This window comes from Homo sapiens, chromosome 18, assembly GCF_000001405.40.
Source record: "Homo sapiens chromosome 18, GRCh38.p14 Primary Assembly".
In the NCBI taxonomy this organism is placed as follows: domain Eukaryota; kingdom Metazoa; phylum Chordata; class Mammalia; order Primates; family Hominidae; genus Homo; species Homo sapiens.
In genome coordinates this window covers 37,536,465-37,553,979 of record NC_000018.10, presented here as the reverse complement: position 1 = coordinate 37,553,979, position 17,515 = coordinate 37,536,465, and the positions used below count along the sequence as shown (strand labels likewise).

The following is a 17,515-nucleotide window of genomic DNA, read 5'->3' as shown; positions in this document are numbered from 1 at the left end:
GGAGGAAGCCCCTAAATTGCGTGTGAGGGGAGGGTTCCTCTTTCCTCCAGCTGTCGCCTGCCCTCTGACGGTGAGACGAAGAACTTCTTACACACACACTGCGGGCCCCAGTCTGAAGTGCCCAGCTCCTGCAGCAGCCCAGGCCCTGCCTCACCCCAGGAGCTCCAACTCAAACCTCTCCCGCACCCTACCCCTTACCCTGGCCAGTGTTGGCTGCTCCTTCTGCACAGCAGCTCCCTGCGCGGGTGGGGGACTCTCCACGTCATTTCCCTCACTTGACAAGCCGGGCCTGAGCCTGGGACACCAGCAAAACAGGGACCGCAAAGCCAGAGAGGAGGATCAGAAAACCCAAAAAGTATTGTCATTTCTGTATCCATGTGAGTTTTGTTTCATTTCAAAAATTAATAATTACAGTCTACGATTTAGTGTGATTTTTATTCTTAATTCCATATGTTGGGGACTTGTTAGCAAAGCACCAGAATCTTTTGCATACTTAGGGCCTGACATGGGTCCAACTCCAAACTGCTGTGTCCCGGAACTTCTGCAAAGGAATCTCCAAATGCCCCCACAAGACGCACACACGTGGCACACTCATATGCTACGTGTGATGAAATGGATGGGCCTGGGTGGAGAACCCACAGATTAGTGATCAATTGGTACACTCACCACCCCGGTCCAGCTGAGGCCCCAGTAGAGCAACTTAAGCCCAGTTTATCATCAGAGTGACAAAGACACAGAGTATGACTGGCTTATTTTCAGGCTCATTTTCTTATCCAATTTTAAAAAAAAAATCTTTTTATTGAAAAACAGGACCTTCATCTGTACTGTCATCTTGACTATTTCAATAAGCAAATGATTACATTTATTTTAGAGTAAATTCTGTTGCCATTCTGTTGGGCAAGTTTGGAAATCTGGAATGAGGAACAAACGGCGAAGCCTGGGACCCGGCAGCTGAGTTGGGTCCCCAGGGAAAAGAGAGGAACAGCAAGTTAAAGGGTGATGTCTCAGTGCGAGAAAAGCACGTTGTTGAGCTGTGGTGAATGACTACTGGGCAGACCACGTCACAACAGCAGCTCAGGCCTTAGAGCAAGAGATCACACTCCTGAAGGGCTGACCAGCCACACACCAGCTGCAGAGGACATGCTTCCTCCAGGAGACCCCAGCTGAGATACGTGGGAAGCCAGGCAGGAAGGGCCAAACATGCAGGCTGAACCATCCAGCTGGAGCCAGCAGAAAGCCAGGCTCCTGTACCCTTTGTGTTCAAGTTCAAGACCCCCATCTGCCCCTTATGCCATCACCAGGGCTTTGGTTTATTTCTCCCTTAGTTTCTCAAGTTTCTCAGCAAAACATTAACTTGGAATGTTCTGACCTTGTCTTGGCTGAGCCAGTGATTAAGAGGGCTAGTCTGCAGCAGAGGCCACACAGCCAGGAGGAGAGCATCCCTGCAGACCAGCCAAGGCTGGAGGAGGAGCCTGCTGGGGCGGGAGTTGGGGAGTCACTGAACCAACTGCCGTTGACTTCTGGGATGCCACCACCCCTCTCGACACTCACCCTCATCACGCAGAGGCAGGTTTCTGCAGAGCAGGGAGTGGGTAGGAAATTATAGGCTGTGGCGGGACATACCATGGCCCCCTGCAGGAAAGCCCCAGGGTCTGACAGGGGAGACATAGGCCTCCCTCATGGAGGTGCAGATTCATGTCCAATTCAGGTGCCCTGAGTGTCAGGCTCTGTTCCGACAAGGTGGGGGACCCGCTTTCACTGCCACAAGATAACTTGAGATGTGATAGAAGACAGCAACCCCACAAACATAAAACTGTCCCGTGTAAATACGCTGTTGAGGGGGGATGTGGGAACCCCCGAAAGATAAGTAGTCAGGTAGGGGCACTGGCTCTAAGCCAGATTCCCACATAGAGAAAGACGGCATAAGCCCAGCCTGGCAGATGGGAACGGGACAGAGCAGGAAGGCTGGAGAGCTGACAAGTCGGGGAGTTGTGTTTTGTTTCTTTCCATTGTGTTTTGTTTTTGTCCCTCTGCAATGAAGTCTCATTCTTAGAATGGTGGACAAAGGAATTTCTCATTTTGAATAAATTTGGACCTGCCGCCAGCCTGGCTGAGGGAGAATCAGTCATGGGTGGGTGGGTGTGTTGCTGTTACTCCGAAGAAGTCAGTGATACACACTGAAACTGCCAGGGCTATCCTCACCTGCTTTGGGTCTGCAGTGTCCTTCAGCTGTCCCAATTGCAGCCCACTTGGGCTGAGAAATTACTCATGGAATATTTAAACCCGTGGCCATGTTTGCTGTCACCAAGGCAGGCATTCAGATTGTCCCCACAGACTCACTCAGCTGAACATCCCGAGCAATACACTATAGGATTCCAGGGGCTGGAATCTTCCTGCACCCTCACCCTTACTCTGCTCCTGCCCCCAGCACAGGAGTGGCTGGATGGCAGCCAGGCCATGGGGATGAAGCTGAGGACAGTTTCCTGGGGTGACACTGGTCTTGCAGCTGGAAAAATATTGCCAGGTCCCAGGAAGAACTGCCCCCATTGTCAACAGCACACCTGGGCAACGTCCTGAGCAGACATTTTTTACTGCAGGAGAGCAGTGGAATGGGCGTACTTCTCCCATCTCTGGAAGAGAAACTCAGCCCAGGGGGGCAGTCATGGCTGAGGTGGCCTTTGGGGCTGGCTCTTTAGGGGAGGGAGATTCCTCTCTTATGGACCTTCCACAGACCACAATCCTGGCATCCTCCTGACCCCAGGGATTTCTCAGGGGAGAACAGAACTGGGCTCAGTCATAGAGCTGGAGTGACTGAAAAACTCAGTTCCCTGCAGGGATATGGACGTCACTAGTGTTGGTCTTCCAGTACCCTCCGAGTTCCCAGTCATCCAGCCTCTACACTCCCCACCCCAAGTCCCAAACCCCAACCCCCAGGCCACCAAACCAGGACTGAGGGCTCTCAAGCAACGGTACCCAACCAAAAGTGACCTCCTTTTCCTATCATTTCAATGCCTTGCCCCTTGTTGGTCTGACAAATCAAACTGGGCCGATGTGTCCCTGGTGGCTAATGGACATTAATGCGTTACCATCTCTGTTGCCACGTGCCTTTTAACAGGGACCTTTTAGAGCCCAGTCCTTAACCCAAAGAAACGTCTCTAATCGGGGGGAATTTTCTGGCACAGGCCAGGCCAGAGGGAGCCAGCGTGAGGCAGGGACACCTCTGTCTACTGGGAGGCAGCAGAGGTCTGCCCGGCCTCCAGCTCTGTTGCCCAGGCAGAACTCCACCTCCCCTGCTGCAGCAGAGAGGGACCCAGGCAGCCAGCGGACGGGCTGATCTCTTTGCTGGGCTCCCAGTGGGGCCTGCGGATCACAGAGGCTGCCATGCCAAAGGTTTAATCAAATATTAAACATGGTCCGTAAACTTAAACCAACGTCATATCTGGAACACCACGTCCCTCCTTAAGAGCACCAACTCTGGGAAAGTTTCAGCTTAGCTTGGTCTGGGTACAGGGCAGGGGCTTCTTGGTTCATGCTCCCTTGGGGGCAGGAAAAAGGAGAGGCAGGCAGAGACCACAGCATGGGTGGGATGTGTGGCTTTCCTCCTCCATTCTATTATTCATTTCCCCTGATTTTTATCTAATCTCTCCCTGATTGTCCTGATGAAACTTAATAGACAAAGTGAATTTTTATTACATCATCAATATAATCTCCAGCTAATCAGCAGACACAGGGGCCACTGCAAGCCCTATAGCTCCTCATCTGGCTTCATAAATAGTAGGAACAATCACTGCCAAGCCCAACTCTTCCAGCTCCTCCTGAGAGGCCCCTTTCCCTGCTGAGCCCCCTCCCCAGACCTATTCTTGGGGTTTCTTTCTTCCCACGGATCCCCCCCCCCCACCCATTGGACCACATTGCCAGTTGATGGAGATATCTTCCCCATTAGTATTTTTAGTTTTCTTCCTCCCAGCTTCAGCTGTTAAAATCACAAATCTGGGGCTTGTGTTTCGAATGCCAAAATAGCCTAATGTCGACTGATTTTGATTCTACTTTTCTCTGAGCTGGGGATATGATATGTCATAAGATATTATATAATTGTATGGATCACAGGACATACTATCAACCACATTATATACCAGATTAAGTGATAGGTTATACTGCATATATATAACCTATATATAAAAGTGTTTTGGTCATTTAAAGTTGAACCATGCATCTTGTGCACTGTATCATAGAAGTTAAATTATGTATTTTATTTATATTATAGCATGCCTTCTATTTATATAGCATTTTAATCTGTAAAATACTTTCTTATATAGTACCTCTTTTTATCCCTATTGCAACCAGGTACAGTTGATACCTTTTTTATAAAGAAAAATGAAAAAGGGATCATGAAGGAAAATTACAACCTAGTCAAATCCTGCCAGGATACGGCAGAATGGCTTGGCTCAGGATGTGTGCCAGCAAGGCAGGGAAGGGGTCACCAGTGAATCAGGGATCAGGGGCAAAGGTGTACCTGCTGACCAGGCAGGCAGATTCGTAAGGCCTGGCCTGCGGGGCAGCCCCTGGCCAAAGGGCAACCTTTCGTTCAAGGAGTAGGAGTTTTTTTCCCTGTCTCAAACCTGCCCAAAGTTAAATGTACAAGTGAGTGCACCCCTTCCAAGCCCTCTTGCTATGAGACTAGTCCCATACAGTAACAGGAGGCTGCCTTCTCCTCTGTTCTCCAGGGTCCTGGTCATACTGCTCTAGGATGGTTTGGATTTCAGAAAAATAGCAAATGCTACTTACAGTCAAATCCTTTAAATAAAGTGAGTGATGAGGCTAATAAATCTGGCTTTGGGCACCCACAACAGCGTAGACTGTTTGGGAGAAGGGTAGTCTGCTTCCTGCTGATAATCAGGACCAGCTCTGGGAGCGACTGGCCCCGCTTCACCAGTCACCCCTCTGATTCCTGAGGGGAGGGCTGTTTCCACGCATCTGTTCGGTGGACGGTCCGCATGTGACTGGGGCTCATGCACAGGCCCCTCCAGCTTGGCCCTGATCATTCAGGGGTGGCCTGGATGTTGCAGGGCTCCTGGGGGTGGGCAGTGTTTCGTGCCTTGGACACTGCCTGCTGCAGAGGTAGCTGGCACGCCAAGGATGTACTCCACGTAGGAGCCACATGCCTGGGTCCTTGCCCCATGCTGGCTCTGGCTCCCGCACGGACCAGTGTCCTCACCTCCTTGCTCAGAGCCTGGGCCTTCTGCTCTCACATCACTGCAGCAACACCTGCTCAACCCATTGCTTAGGGTCATTGTGAGGATCATATGAGAAGGGAAAACACGGTGCAAAAGTTAAAATGTCCAGGGTCACTGTCATGCATTAAGGGCCAGCACCCCTATCAGCACCCCTATCAGCTCTGAGGGTCCGGCTCACTATCGGAAACAGCACATAAGGGGCGGCACAAAGGCCTGAGGATGGGTAGGAAGGGATATTGGCAATGCACCTACTACGTGACAGTGACACACACACAGCCTCTCACTTGTTTTATCTCATTACATCCTCGTGACAAAGCTTCGATAGAGATGTCACTGTGCCCCTTTGAATGCCAAAGAAATGGAAACTCGGAGAGCAGTAACTCGACTGAGGTTAGATACACCCAGATTGGTCATATGCTCAAGCCGGCCACGCTTCCTTGACTGCATGCTCCCTTTATGGAAGTAAATAAAAAGATCATCTCTTACATCTCCCTCATTTTGCAGATGGGAAAACTGAAGCCCTGGGACATTACTGGCTAATGTTTTCTTAAATTATCACACACTGTCTTGTATGGAGGATCTGAAAAAACACACACACACACACAGAGATGTGTACACATTTATGGAAACAAAGAGATAACTCACACAGACACACCCTCATACAGATACGCACATACATAGAGATTCAAAAATCAGTACACACAGACACCCATAGGAACACACTCAGAAATAGGCATTCATATAGATACTCATATATGCAAGCACACACACACACTCAAAAATGCAGACACATTCACAAACACATTCATAGACACACACATATAGAAACATTCTGGCACCCATAAAGAAGTGCACATAGAGATACACACACGGACCCAGATACATACCCTCACACAGACACACATACTCACATACCACTCCTTAAAGACAAAGCTTAATTAACCACAAGGCCAGAGACACAATTTATCCACCTAACTTTTTAGCAAGAAGAAGTAAAAGCAGCTGGTTTGGAGAGAGAGATGACAGGGGCCCAGCTTGGAAGGGAGACGGGAACACAGGGGCCCCATAAAGTCTGTGGCCAAATCCTCATTAGAAGTCAGCAAATAAACAGAAGGCATTTGCTGAGAGCACTCCCCCTGCAATCTCCCTTCTGCGTCAACCCACAGAATCTTGGCCAAATTTCTGTTCGTCTAACCAAGACTAAAGGCAGGACCTGGAGAAATTTTGGGCAGGCCTTCCAAGAGCCACCCAGCCCCAGGCACTGGCTATAGACAGCTCTCATGTAGGTAAGGGGAGGCCTGTGAGCAGAAGAGGCAGCCTCCAGGGGGTGGCAACTGGGAAGGAAGGAGAGGAGCAGGGTAGGTCTACAGCTGCAGCCTCTCCTGGTGACCAGCATTCAGGCTACCTCTGGCTGTGGCTGAGTGAGAAAGAAGGTTTTTGTACACCCAGCCCTCAGCCGTCCACCCAAGGCTGCTCCAGCCTGGGGGGGCTCCTGTTGGCTCATGGGAACACATTTGGAAGAGAAGATGGCCCTGCTCAGCTGTATTAAGAGAATACACACACACACACACACACACACACACACCACACACACACACACATACACTAAGCAAAGGGTTAATTGTTGTAAGGAGTTCGCCAGGGAACAGGAAACCTATGGTTTTCTTTTCTTTAAAATAAAATCCTGAGGATCCAGGAATGACTTCTCTGTTTCCTCCATCTGCTGGATAAGCTGACCATTTGGAAGTTGAGTCTGTCCCGGGATGATGGGGCAGCCTTCTTTCGCAGTACTGACTTGAGCTACATGTGCTGGACAGGAGAGATGAGGGGTTGTCACTGGAGGTACTGCATGTGTTGCCCTGTCCTGCGTAGACAAACTGTGCCAGCTGGCTGCAAGGGGTGAGGCTTGGTGGACACCTCTGGGGACTATGGCACAGAGCAGGCTGTGGTGTGTCTGCTAGAGGTGTGCCATGTAGATTCATGTTGTAGACATGGGTTTTGTATTTACACTGCATCCTGTGGTTCTGCTGGAGCATGCACGTGTGTGTTGGTGCTGTGTGGGTCAGTGTGTGTCATGTGTGGGAGAGCTGTGTTTTCTACGCTGTTCTGGAAAGAGAGGGGAGGATGCCCAGAGGGCTGTCTTCATTCCTCCCAGGCTGCAAAGCTCCCTTATCCTGGGACTTGCTATCTGGCAGAGCCCGACCCTTTCCCTCCCAGCTCAGGGTCCAGAGGTATCTCACACCAGGACCACGTCTGTCCACAGCCTGAATGAAGTGCTCTGAGTCTGACCAGGATTCTGGAATTGGTAGCCTTTTACTCTGCAGCTGCAGTGAGAACTGTGTGTGTGTGTGTGTGCGCATACATGTGCGTGGGTGCAAGTATGTAGTGAGCATGTGTGCACCTGCCCACACACCACTTCCAAGTGAGTACACTCCAATCCCGGCCTGTGAGACCTGGGCGAGGAGATGAGGAGATGTGCGGACGTGTATGCTCATACATGCTGAGTGTATGCAAGTGTGTGTGGGCTGCGACGGGCTCGGGTGGGCCAATTTTTAGTGACAGATTGTGTGTACGTCTATGACTACAGTTTCTACCAAGTGCATGTAAAAAACAGAAGAGATGAGTCCAACTCCCTGGGTGGGCACGCCTGCAGTTCTCTGCAAATGTGTGTGAGCGTGGGTGTCTTTTTGAGGGGCCTCTGGCCAGTTGTAGGGGAGGAGTGTGGGAAAAGTATGTGGGGAGAAAGGGCTCCACACACGTGTGGTTGTGGGCAACCTAGTTGGGTGGGACGCTAAGTCAGACAGTGTCCTCCAGAGACCTCGCCACTTTCTTGGATGCATGGCTGGGCCATCTGTGGCATCTTCTCACATTCTGCCCACAGATTCCCTGGGAGACCGGAAGAAGAGGGGGTCAGCTCCCCAGAAGGTAGCCCTGAGGTCTCTTCTTGGAGACAGCCACAAGTGCAGGGCCGTGTGTGTGTGTGTGTGTGTGTATGCCCACACACACGCATATGAGAGTGAGAGAGAGAGACGGGGCAGCCACAGGAAAAGAGAGGCCCCTGCCCCACTGCCTCCATCCAGGCTTGAGCAGATGGTGCTCAGACTCGACCAGCGAGGCCAGAGGCAGCACTTGGAAGCAACGTGTCCTGAGGAAAGGGCCAGAGTGGGGCCCAGGGAGATGCTGTCTGGCTAAATGCATCTCTGCTCTCCTGGGCCTGTCCTTCTGTCCAGAAACACCGATCTCCTGAGCCTAGCCCATGTGTCCAGCTACAGATGTTTTTATTCTCTTTGCCTCATCTCTGGGCCCCCTGGAGGCTGAATTCAGCTACTTGGGGTGCAGGCACAAAAGCCAGGCCATCCCCAAGCCTGGCCCCAGCCCACCTCTGGCTCCAGCGTGAGTCATTTTGCTACTAGGCAGCAGGAGGAAGGCCAGTCCTACCTGCCCAGGAGTCCTGGGATCTCAGGCACAGATCTGGTGGTTACCCATTCGCTCATCTGGAGGCCCCACCACTCTTGCCCCTGAGGACACTACCCGCTCCTCACACCCAGGCTGTGTGCTTTGCCCAATGCATCTGCAGCAAGCTGCTGTTGGGCACTGGTGCCCTTATTATGCCCGGTCTTCCTGCAGCTGAGGCCAGACCCTGACCCTTCCCAGCCTCTCCCAGAACACATGTATCAGAATCTCCTGGGATTCTGGTGGGAAACGAAGCTCCTGACCTCAACCCCACACTTTTGAATTCCCTGAGGATGAGGCAAAGGAATCTGCAAGTTGGAAAGCAGCTTTAGGGGTCTCCATGCATGTCACGTTGCCTGTCCCTGGAGCCCCAGGATCAGCTCCCTGTCCAAGTTGTCAACAATGCTGCGGCTTCCTCAGGCCTCAACCAGACACCCTCCTGAGTATCCCCTAACTTTCTGTGGCTTGCCTCATGGCCCCTGGGGCTCAGCTTTCTTCCTCGGGGGAATGACAGCCTACATTTTTGGAACCATCTGCTTATGCCATAAAACCGATTCCTTAGGCTGTTGTTATAACTGTCATAACAGACATGTCTTCCCCACTTGCAGGAAGTGGATCCCAATCTCACACTCTTAAATTCTCATCCTCACGTAGCTACACATGCACAGATACACTTACACACATACATACGTACAAGCACACACACGTACCCACATACAGGCCAGCCAACTCCTCTGGTGACATATTACGTGCAAGTTCTTTGTTTTCAATGGTGAAGCTATTCTGTGCCCAGCTGTGAAGTCATTCCCCTGCTCAGCACCTCACACAGCTTCCCAGCCCCTCCCAGAGTCCATTCAGTGGGGAGTGGAGGCTTTGAAAGCAGCACAAGGGCCATGCAATGCATAGCACTGAGGTCCAGCCCCGCAGCTCCGCTGACAAGCTGTGTGAGTTGGACAAATCCCTTTACCTACTGGTCGGCCTCAATCTCCCTGTCTAGCAAACGGGAATTTACACCCTGCCTAGATGAGCTGCTTGTGAACGTGGAACGCAGTGATTTCGGTGGAGCATCTGACAGAGCCTGAAACATAGTGAGCCTGAGATAATTGTAGCTGTTGAACAAATGAAAAAAAAAAAAAAAAAGGAAGTAAAAGAGTTCACAACCTAGGACATCCCTGGCCTTGCCGCCCTTGCCCTTACCTCAGCCCTCCCTTCCTGGGAGGTAAGTTGCATCTCTGCACCTCTGCTCAGGCTATTCCCCCACCTGGGGTACCCTCTTCACTCCTGCTTCCCCCAAGCCAAGGCCTGCTTCTCTGGACAGACCGCACCGAGCCTCCTCCAGGAAGCCTCTAACTGCTGCAGCCCCATCAGTCTCTCAGAGTCCCCCAAGCTTCAGCCTCCCTGGAGCTTCAGCCTCCCTGCCCAGCGGCACAGACCACGTAGCGGCCTCTCTCATTCATCTAGAGGGAATGGAGGGGCCATCAATTGGTCCCCAGAAAAGACCAGTTGTTTTTTCAATACTAAGTGTATTGTAAATATTTTCATTGCCAATAGTATTTGTCACAGAAAAAATAAACAAGATGACAATGTAGCAAGAAGAGGACACCCATATTCCCACTCCCCAGAGATAATGACTGTGAAGGTTTTGGTCATTGTGCTTAGGTCCGGCTGCTGGTTCCAGCCAGGTGCCTCATGCAACCTAGGCTGCGTTCTTGCTCACCCACACTGTGCCCAGTGCTGGGCTGCACATCATGTGAGGAGCAGGAGGCAGAGCCACAGCCCCTGCCCAGGAGGCTCACACACTCATGGGGAGGTAACACACAAAAAAAGCCATGCCCAAGCAAAAGTAAATTCAGCCCCTGCCACCCACCACCAACAACCTGACTTGAGAGGCCCTGTGTCCCTCACCTGCTTGGGGAGATGGCCGGGAAGATGCCCAGCTTGGGGGAGGTAGGTCAGGGTACGGCCTGGGTTTGGAGGAGGGAGGAAGCCTTTCATTCTAGTCCAGGAACTCCTTTGAGTAAGTCACTGGGCACCTGTGGAGCTCCATTTCTTCCTCTCGGGATGGGAATGAAATGGGTCACCTCGAAGAACGCTTCCTGTTTCACAGCCTCTAACCCTATGATGTAAAGTTCATGCTGGATTTAGAGTTCAGATTCCAGGGTGGTGCAACCCTTGGGGAGCTCTTGGAGGCTGGGGATGGGAAGGCATGGGAAGATTTGAGGGGTTGCTCAGAGACCACAGTCAGAGGTGCTGAGTCCATGCAGAGATTGAAGAGTTAAAATGGAGGTGGGTGTGATGGGGAGTCCTCATCAGTATTGGGCTCTAACCAAGTTCAAGGGAGGCAGGAGTGATGTCGTAGAAAGAGCACTGGATCTAGAGCCCAGAGACTTGGGTTTTCATGTCTGAGAGCCAGGCAATGGTCAGGGGCAAGGCATTTCATTCCTGGAGCTTGGAGCGTCTCCTAACCTGTAAGTCAAGAATAACAACACTGGCTTCATGAGTTATTATGGCAATTAAGTGAGAAAATGTAGAAACATCTAGAATAGTCTCATATAATGATAATAATCATAATCATAATAATAAGAGAGGAATTGTTAACATGTATTTATCATTTACCGTATCCCCAGCATGATGCCAAGTGCTCTAATGTGCTATCTCATTTAATGTTCCCAGTTTTCCTAGGAGAACATTTCAATTTCTGTTTTACAGACAAAGAAACAGAGGCACAGAGTTTAACTGCCCTAACTTCCCAGGGCACGGAGCAAGTAAGTGGCACAGCCAAGATGCCCAGCCATGCTCCCATGAGTCGTACGCTTGGGGAAGAGCGCCTGTGCCTATTGTGGTTAAGTACCCACATCCAGGGAGTAGAGGTCTTCATGACTGGGCTTCAGCCTTCCTAAGTGTAGATGCCACCATGGAAGATCAGAGCAGCCAGCTCGTGAAGTTCAGTGGGTGCACAGCGAGCACTCAATAACGAGTGTTTATTTATTGCTTCTGTTTACAGCTCTATTCCCAAAGTGAATTGTTTGTTTAAGTAAGGAGCATTTACCTTTATTACAGTCATTGGTAAATAAAATTATATTTGCATTTCCACAAATATGTATGAGTTTAATTAGTCTTGCAATTCGTACACAAGAGCCAGTCCAGGAAACACATTTATGAGCTCCCACTTCTACCCTAGGCAGAAGGCCTTCTCCCACAAACACCATCAGGATTGAATAATTCACTCATTCACAAACAGTTACTGATCACCCACTCTGTGCCACTGCTGGAGTCACAACGATGACCATGGCACAGAAACCTCTGGATCTCCTGGAGCTCACATTTTCATGAGGAAGTCAGATGATACATTAAAAATTAAAATTAAAAACCTGATCATAAGTGTTGTGCTGAGAATTAAAACATATGGATGAGGCATGACTGGGGCCGCTGTATACGTGTCAGTGGGGAGGGCTCCTCTGAGGAACTGACAGTGAAGCCAAGATCCAAACAACAAGCAGACATGGCGGGAGAAAGCACTTCCAGCAGAGAGAACAGCAGGTGCAAAGGCCCGGAGGCAGGAATGGGCTTTGTGTGTTCAAGAGACAGGAGGAAGAGCAGTGTGACAGGCGTGTCCTGGGGTAATGGGGAGAATTAGGTGGGAGGGGCTGGTGGGGGCAGGTTGTATCAGGCCTGGCAGGGGTGTCTGAATTGTTTTCTAAGGTTAGCAAGAAGTGTTGGAAGAGCCATGTTCCGATGTATGTTTCACAGAGATCTTTCGGCTGCTGTGTGGAGCCAGCTGCTATAGGAGAGCAGACACGGAGGGGGGCAGCCAGAGGAGCAATGGTGGGGCATGGATTAAGAAGGGCAGTGAAGGTGCGAGAAACAGACGGGGTCAGGATGTGTTTGGGAGATAGGGGTCCCAGGACTTGTTGGTGGATTGGGTGTGATGTGGGGAGAAAGAGAGGCGCCCAGGACGAATAGAGGCACTCAGTGCTGAGTGGGGCCGTTTACTGGGAAGGAACATGTTTTAGGGATGGATGATCAAAATTCTGATTTGGCCTTGCTGAGAGCGGGAGGCCTGTTAGATGTCCAAGGAGAGGCATTAGGAAGGCAGGTGGAATATGATCCTGGAGCTCAGAGTGGTGATCTGGGCTGGAGGTATAAATTTGAGAGGCATCAATATGTCATGGTATTTAAAGTCATTTATAATAGAACAAATTAAACAAGACTTCCTAGATGTGATTATTGTTCCTCCTCAGTGTGGACTGAGCATCAATTAGGTCACAGACTGTGTGATGCACACTATGAGGTCATGCATGCGTGAAGCCTAGAACAGAGGATGCTGGGAGTCCTCCTTCCCCATGCCCCCACTCCACCTCCAGGCAGGTGCTCACCCACACTGACACTGCCAGCCCTCACTTTGTCATTAATGAATGAGATAAAGGAAACTGTTCCTCCTGCCTCAAATTGTCCTGCACCATCTCACAGAACTTAGCCCAGCTCTGTCCCTCCCATGCTCCCACCTAAATCCCTCATGCTGTAGCTTCATTCCCTCCAGCCCTTGCCAGGGCCACTGCTGCTGCCCTTTCTTGGAGCATCTTTCCCAGGATGCCAAGGTTGCATTCCACGCAGCAGGGAGAGCGGGAACTGCTGTCCAGGGGTGAGTCAGCCAGATTCACAGTGGTGATGTAGGTCGCAGAGCTCCCTCCTCCCTGCCCCACTGCTGCGTCTGGAGCCTTCCCACCCAGCTTGCCCCACGATCTGTGTCCTTGTGGCCCACATATCCCGACCCAGCCACCCCCACCAGCCTGACCGTGCTGGCTCGTTTCTCTGAACCCCTAGAAGGGAAGAGCTCCTTGGGAACTTCTCTTTGGCCCCCAGAGCCATGACCAAATGCCTGAGGCAGACCGCTGGCCCGTTTTCCCTGTTTTAAAGTAAAAAAACAATAAAAGCAACACACAAAGAGAGACGCTGCTGTTTTACTTACAAATGAGAGATGTAATCATTCACCCAGGTACCTGGGAGGCTCTGGGCTGGGGCCAGGGAGCCAGTGGACGGGAGGACCCTAGGGCCACAGGCAACCTCTCCACATCCTCCTGGGTACCAGCAAGTGAGACAGGCACTTGGGTCCCCACCCCAAACTTCTCTCACAGGCACTCCAGAGCCAAGCCCTCCTTCCTTGTCACCTTGAGAGATACTCTGGGGTCTGAGCCCACAGTCAGGAGGGTGGTATTCAACTGCCCTGGTAAAGAATAATGGGGTGTCTGGCTGCAAGGCTAGGTGGAGACAGGGAGAGCTACGCACACATCAATGCATATGCACTGTTATAATTGGGTAGTTATTAATAAAGCTATGTCTATTGTCCAGCTCTCTAATGTGCCAGGCCTGCGCTGCACATGAGACCTGATCATCACCTCTCTCCATCCTCACAGCAAGCCCATGACAGCATGACCAATTTGGTAGCTAACAGCGGTGTGTGGCTATTTACATTTACATTTAAATTAACTTTATTCCAATGTAATTTAAAAATCCGTTTTTCAGTTTTACTAGCCACATGCCCAGGGTTCAACAGCCACAAGTAAAGAGGGGCTACAGTGGTAGGCAGTCTGTGCTGTCTACATAGCACATTTTCTGCATGCCAGAAAGTTCTATCAAACAGTGCGGAGAGCATTGCGTGTGCACTGACTAACAAGAGTGCATGAGTGAAGACACACACATGGGCATGTGTGACTGTCACTGGAATGTTCACACACGCACAGCACAAGGGACACAGCTGTGCATGTGTTTAGGCTGTGTGTCTGTGTGTGCACGTGCACGCGTGTGTGTGTGTGTGTGTGTTTGTGTGTGTGTGTGTGTGTGTGTCTTAGAGGTGCCCAGCCCTTGTCCACCACCCCAGGCATCCTGTTGCCTGAAGGAATGTCAGGAACAAGAGCTCTGGAATCAAACTGTCTGGCTTGGAATGTGGGCTCTCCCACTCTCTAACTGGGTGACCTTAGGCAAGTGGCTTAACTTCTCTGTGCTTCAGCTTTCTCTTTATAAAATAAAGATAATAACAGAGCCATTGTTGAGGGTTATTAGAAGCATTACATGAGATAATATGTGCAAAGCTCTCGGAGAGGCTCCCAGCACACTGTGAGCTATTAATAAACATTAGCTGTTACTGTCGTTTCCAAGAGGCAGTGTGTTTGCTGCGCAGGAGCAGCCTTGGAGAAGAGTCTGTCATGTCGGGGAGGGCGTTGAGAACCCTGATGAGACCGAGGATTGCTTCATTCTCAAGCCTGCCACTGCTTCCTGAGAGCAGCAGGGTGGGGCAGGGAGGGAGCTGCTGGGAGCAGCAGGGGTCCCCACCGGCCAGGGAAGGAGACTCCGCAGAGAGGGGTGCTGGGGTGAGGAGGTGCCAGGAGGGGAGGCACACGGGAGGTGACGGGAGGAACGGAGCAGGAGTCCCGCCTTAGCATGTTGTTTACAGCCTGGATCTTCCAGTCGGGCTCTGGGAAATGTGCTGCTGAGTGAGGGAGAGAGAACCCCGTAAGTAACTGCTCCACAATGTCAGAATTGCTTTCTATATTCGCTAAAGCACCAGGCCAGCTATTCCCTCACACTGCCCTCTAGGATCTAAAGTCTCACCTGGGAATGAGACCAACCCACAAGCGACAATTGGAATGAAAAAGAATCAGAGCAGAGGAGGCACCTGAGGGAATCACTAGTCCCAGGCAGCCATTTTAACACAAATCAATTCAACAGGTATTTGCTGAGTGAGTGCCTGCTCTGGGTAAAGACAGCGTTGTGGGTGCTTGGGGGATTCAGAAAAGCAAAAAGGGAGGAAGGAGCCTCTGCCCTGAAGGAGTCGAGAGCCAGAGAGAGAGGCTCCAGGCCTCAGCAGCCAAAGGTAAGACGGCTCGGGAGAGGATTACACACAGGAACTGGCATTTGTAATGGACTTTGAAGATGGGTGATACCTTTCAGAGAGCAAAACAAGGTCCAGAGAGGTTGGACAGCTTGCCCAGGGCTACACAGCCAGTGAAGAATCGAGCCAGGTGTGAGGTCTTTCTTCCATGGAGAGACAAGGAAAAAGGAATGCATCCCTAGGCACACAGTACAGAGAGCAGGGCCTCAGAGGTGCACACAGGAGAGACCAGGGCCATCCCCTGGGATGAGGAGGCCGCCCTCCCACCCCGCCATCCCTCTGGCCTCCCGGAAGGTCCGCCCGATGCGGCGAGAGGCCGCCTGTGTTTTCAGACGTGGCCAGCAGAGGGCACCAGGACTACTGCACAACCCGGACCAAGGAGCCGGCCGCCTCCAGAGCTGGATTCAGCGCCTGGGACTCTCCGGGGCACAGGGCACAAATGTCTGTGCCCCAATCACACAGCCCCGTGGGGTGAGCCCATGATGGGACACCAGGTCGGGGAGTCACGTCCGCGGCTTCCATGTGGAGGGTAGGGCTCCAAGGAGGCAGGCCTGGTTGGACGAGAGAAATCCCAAGACCCTCCCAGATCAGGTGGGCACCTCAGGTTGAATAAAAAAGTTTTCTCCCAGGAGGAGCTTGTGTCTGGCGGACATAAAATGAGTGTATTTTCTTTAGTTTACTTTCAGAGAAAGCAAAGGGAGGGGTGTCTCCATCTGTCACCACCTCCGGGGCTCATCCCTGAACCCCTACAGCGAAGCAAGGAAATAAAATAAACAGCCCCTGTCAGGCTCACATGTGGAGTTGGGGTGGAGACAGCAGCCTGAAATGGTCCCCGAAGACCTGTAATTTTCATGTCCTTTTGCAGAGGCATGACAGAGGAACCATGTCCTTTTACAGAGACCCGACCGGGAACTGGCCTCCCTGCCTTAATCATAAAGGCCATTTGAAGTTAGCACTCAGGTTGCCCTTTTGCAGAAAGACACCCCCAAGGACTTGCTGGGAACTCTTTCTCTTGGATAGAGAGCACCATTCTCCTCCGAGAATGCCAGGCTCTCAGCGTGTACACAGGGCCCCTTCAGTCCAGCCTGGGTGCGATTTCCCAAACTCCAAAGGAATTGGGTCCAAATTCGATTTTTCTTCTTCCTGCTCTGAGAACCAGCCTATGTTTGGTTTGGGCAGTGACAGTTTGGAGATTCAAATGAAAGTCATGATCAAGGTGGTGATAACTGAGTGCACAGCAGAAAATGTAAGGGGAGAAGACAAATACAAGAGGAGGAGGCAAATGCCAGGGACAAAGAGGCGAGGGCACAGAAGAAAGCCCAGGTAAGGGCTGAGTGGCCAGAAGGGTCGGGAAAGCCAGGCTGAGGATGGGTGACCTATGACACCCGCCAGTCGTGCTGTGGGACAGTCCCAGGGAATGTGCTACATCAGATCACATCTGTCCTTGGCTTTATGTGTAGGAATCTTGTGAAGTGAGTCAGCCAGCACCCCCTGGCAAGGTGGGGCATCTCCTCTCTCCCTTCGCAGAGCACAGCTCACATCACTGGGAGGTGTCCTCCAAGCCTCCCTCCAGGCCTGGGAGCTTTATGTGAGCGTGTGAAAGCCTGGGCCGCCTGCACACGAGCCTGTGGCTTTGGGAGATGGGGGTGATGGTGATGGCGGAGTGTGGGAGGGAGCAAGTGCAAGATGTGCGGGGACTTGCTGCCTGGGGACTGGGGCCAGGGCTCCTCCTGTCTCACAGTGCCATCTCAGGTGGGCCACCACCTCCCCCACTCCCTATCTGCATCTGTAAAATGCAAATAGCAATCTCTGCCTCACCCATCCCACACAGATGTTGTGATGCTCAGATTAGGCAAAAACGTGGAGAAAAGGCGCTAGCGAGCAGCACACAGGTGCCCTGCATAGACCTGTAGCTGGGGACCCCTTGCCGAGGGCTGAG

General features: G+C 51.5%; 1 protein-coding gene across 120 annotated transcripts in view, besides 1 other annotated feature; it reads left to right on the top strand.

Moving 5' to 3' along the window:
- The window catches only part of CELF4 (CUGBP Elav-like family member 4), a 322,955-nt gene that overhangs the window by 11,819 nt on the left and 293,621 nt on the right, over positions 1–17,515 (top strand). The gene's annotated exons all lie outside the window — the stretch shown is intronic.
- Positions 13,180–13,474: an enhancer, noted in NCBI's record as "tiled region #9247; HepG2 Activating non-DNase unmatched - State 22:ReprW, and K562 Activating non-DNase unmatched - State 19:H4K20". NCBI's record gives its function as "activates a minimal TATA promoter and a strong SV40 promoter by Sharpr-MPRA in HepG2 and K562 cells {active_cell/tissue: HepG2 | K562}" and the evidence as "EXISTENCE:reporter gene assay evidence [ECO:0000049][PMID:27701403]".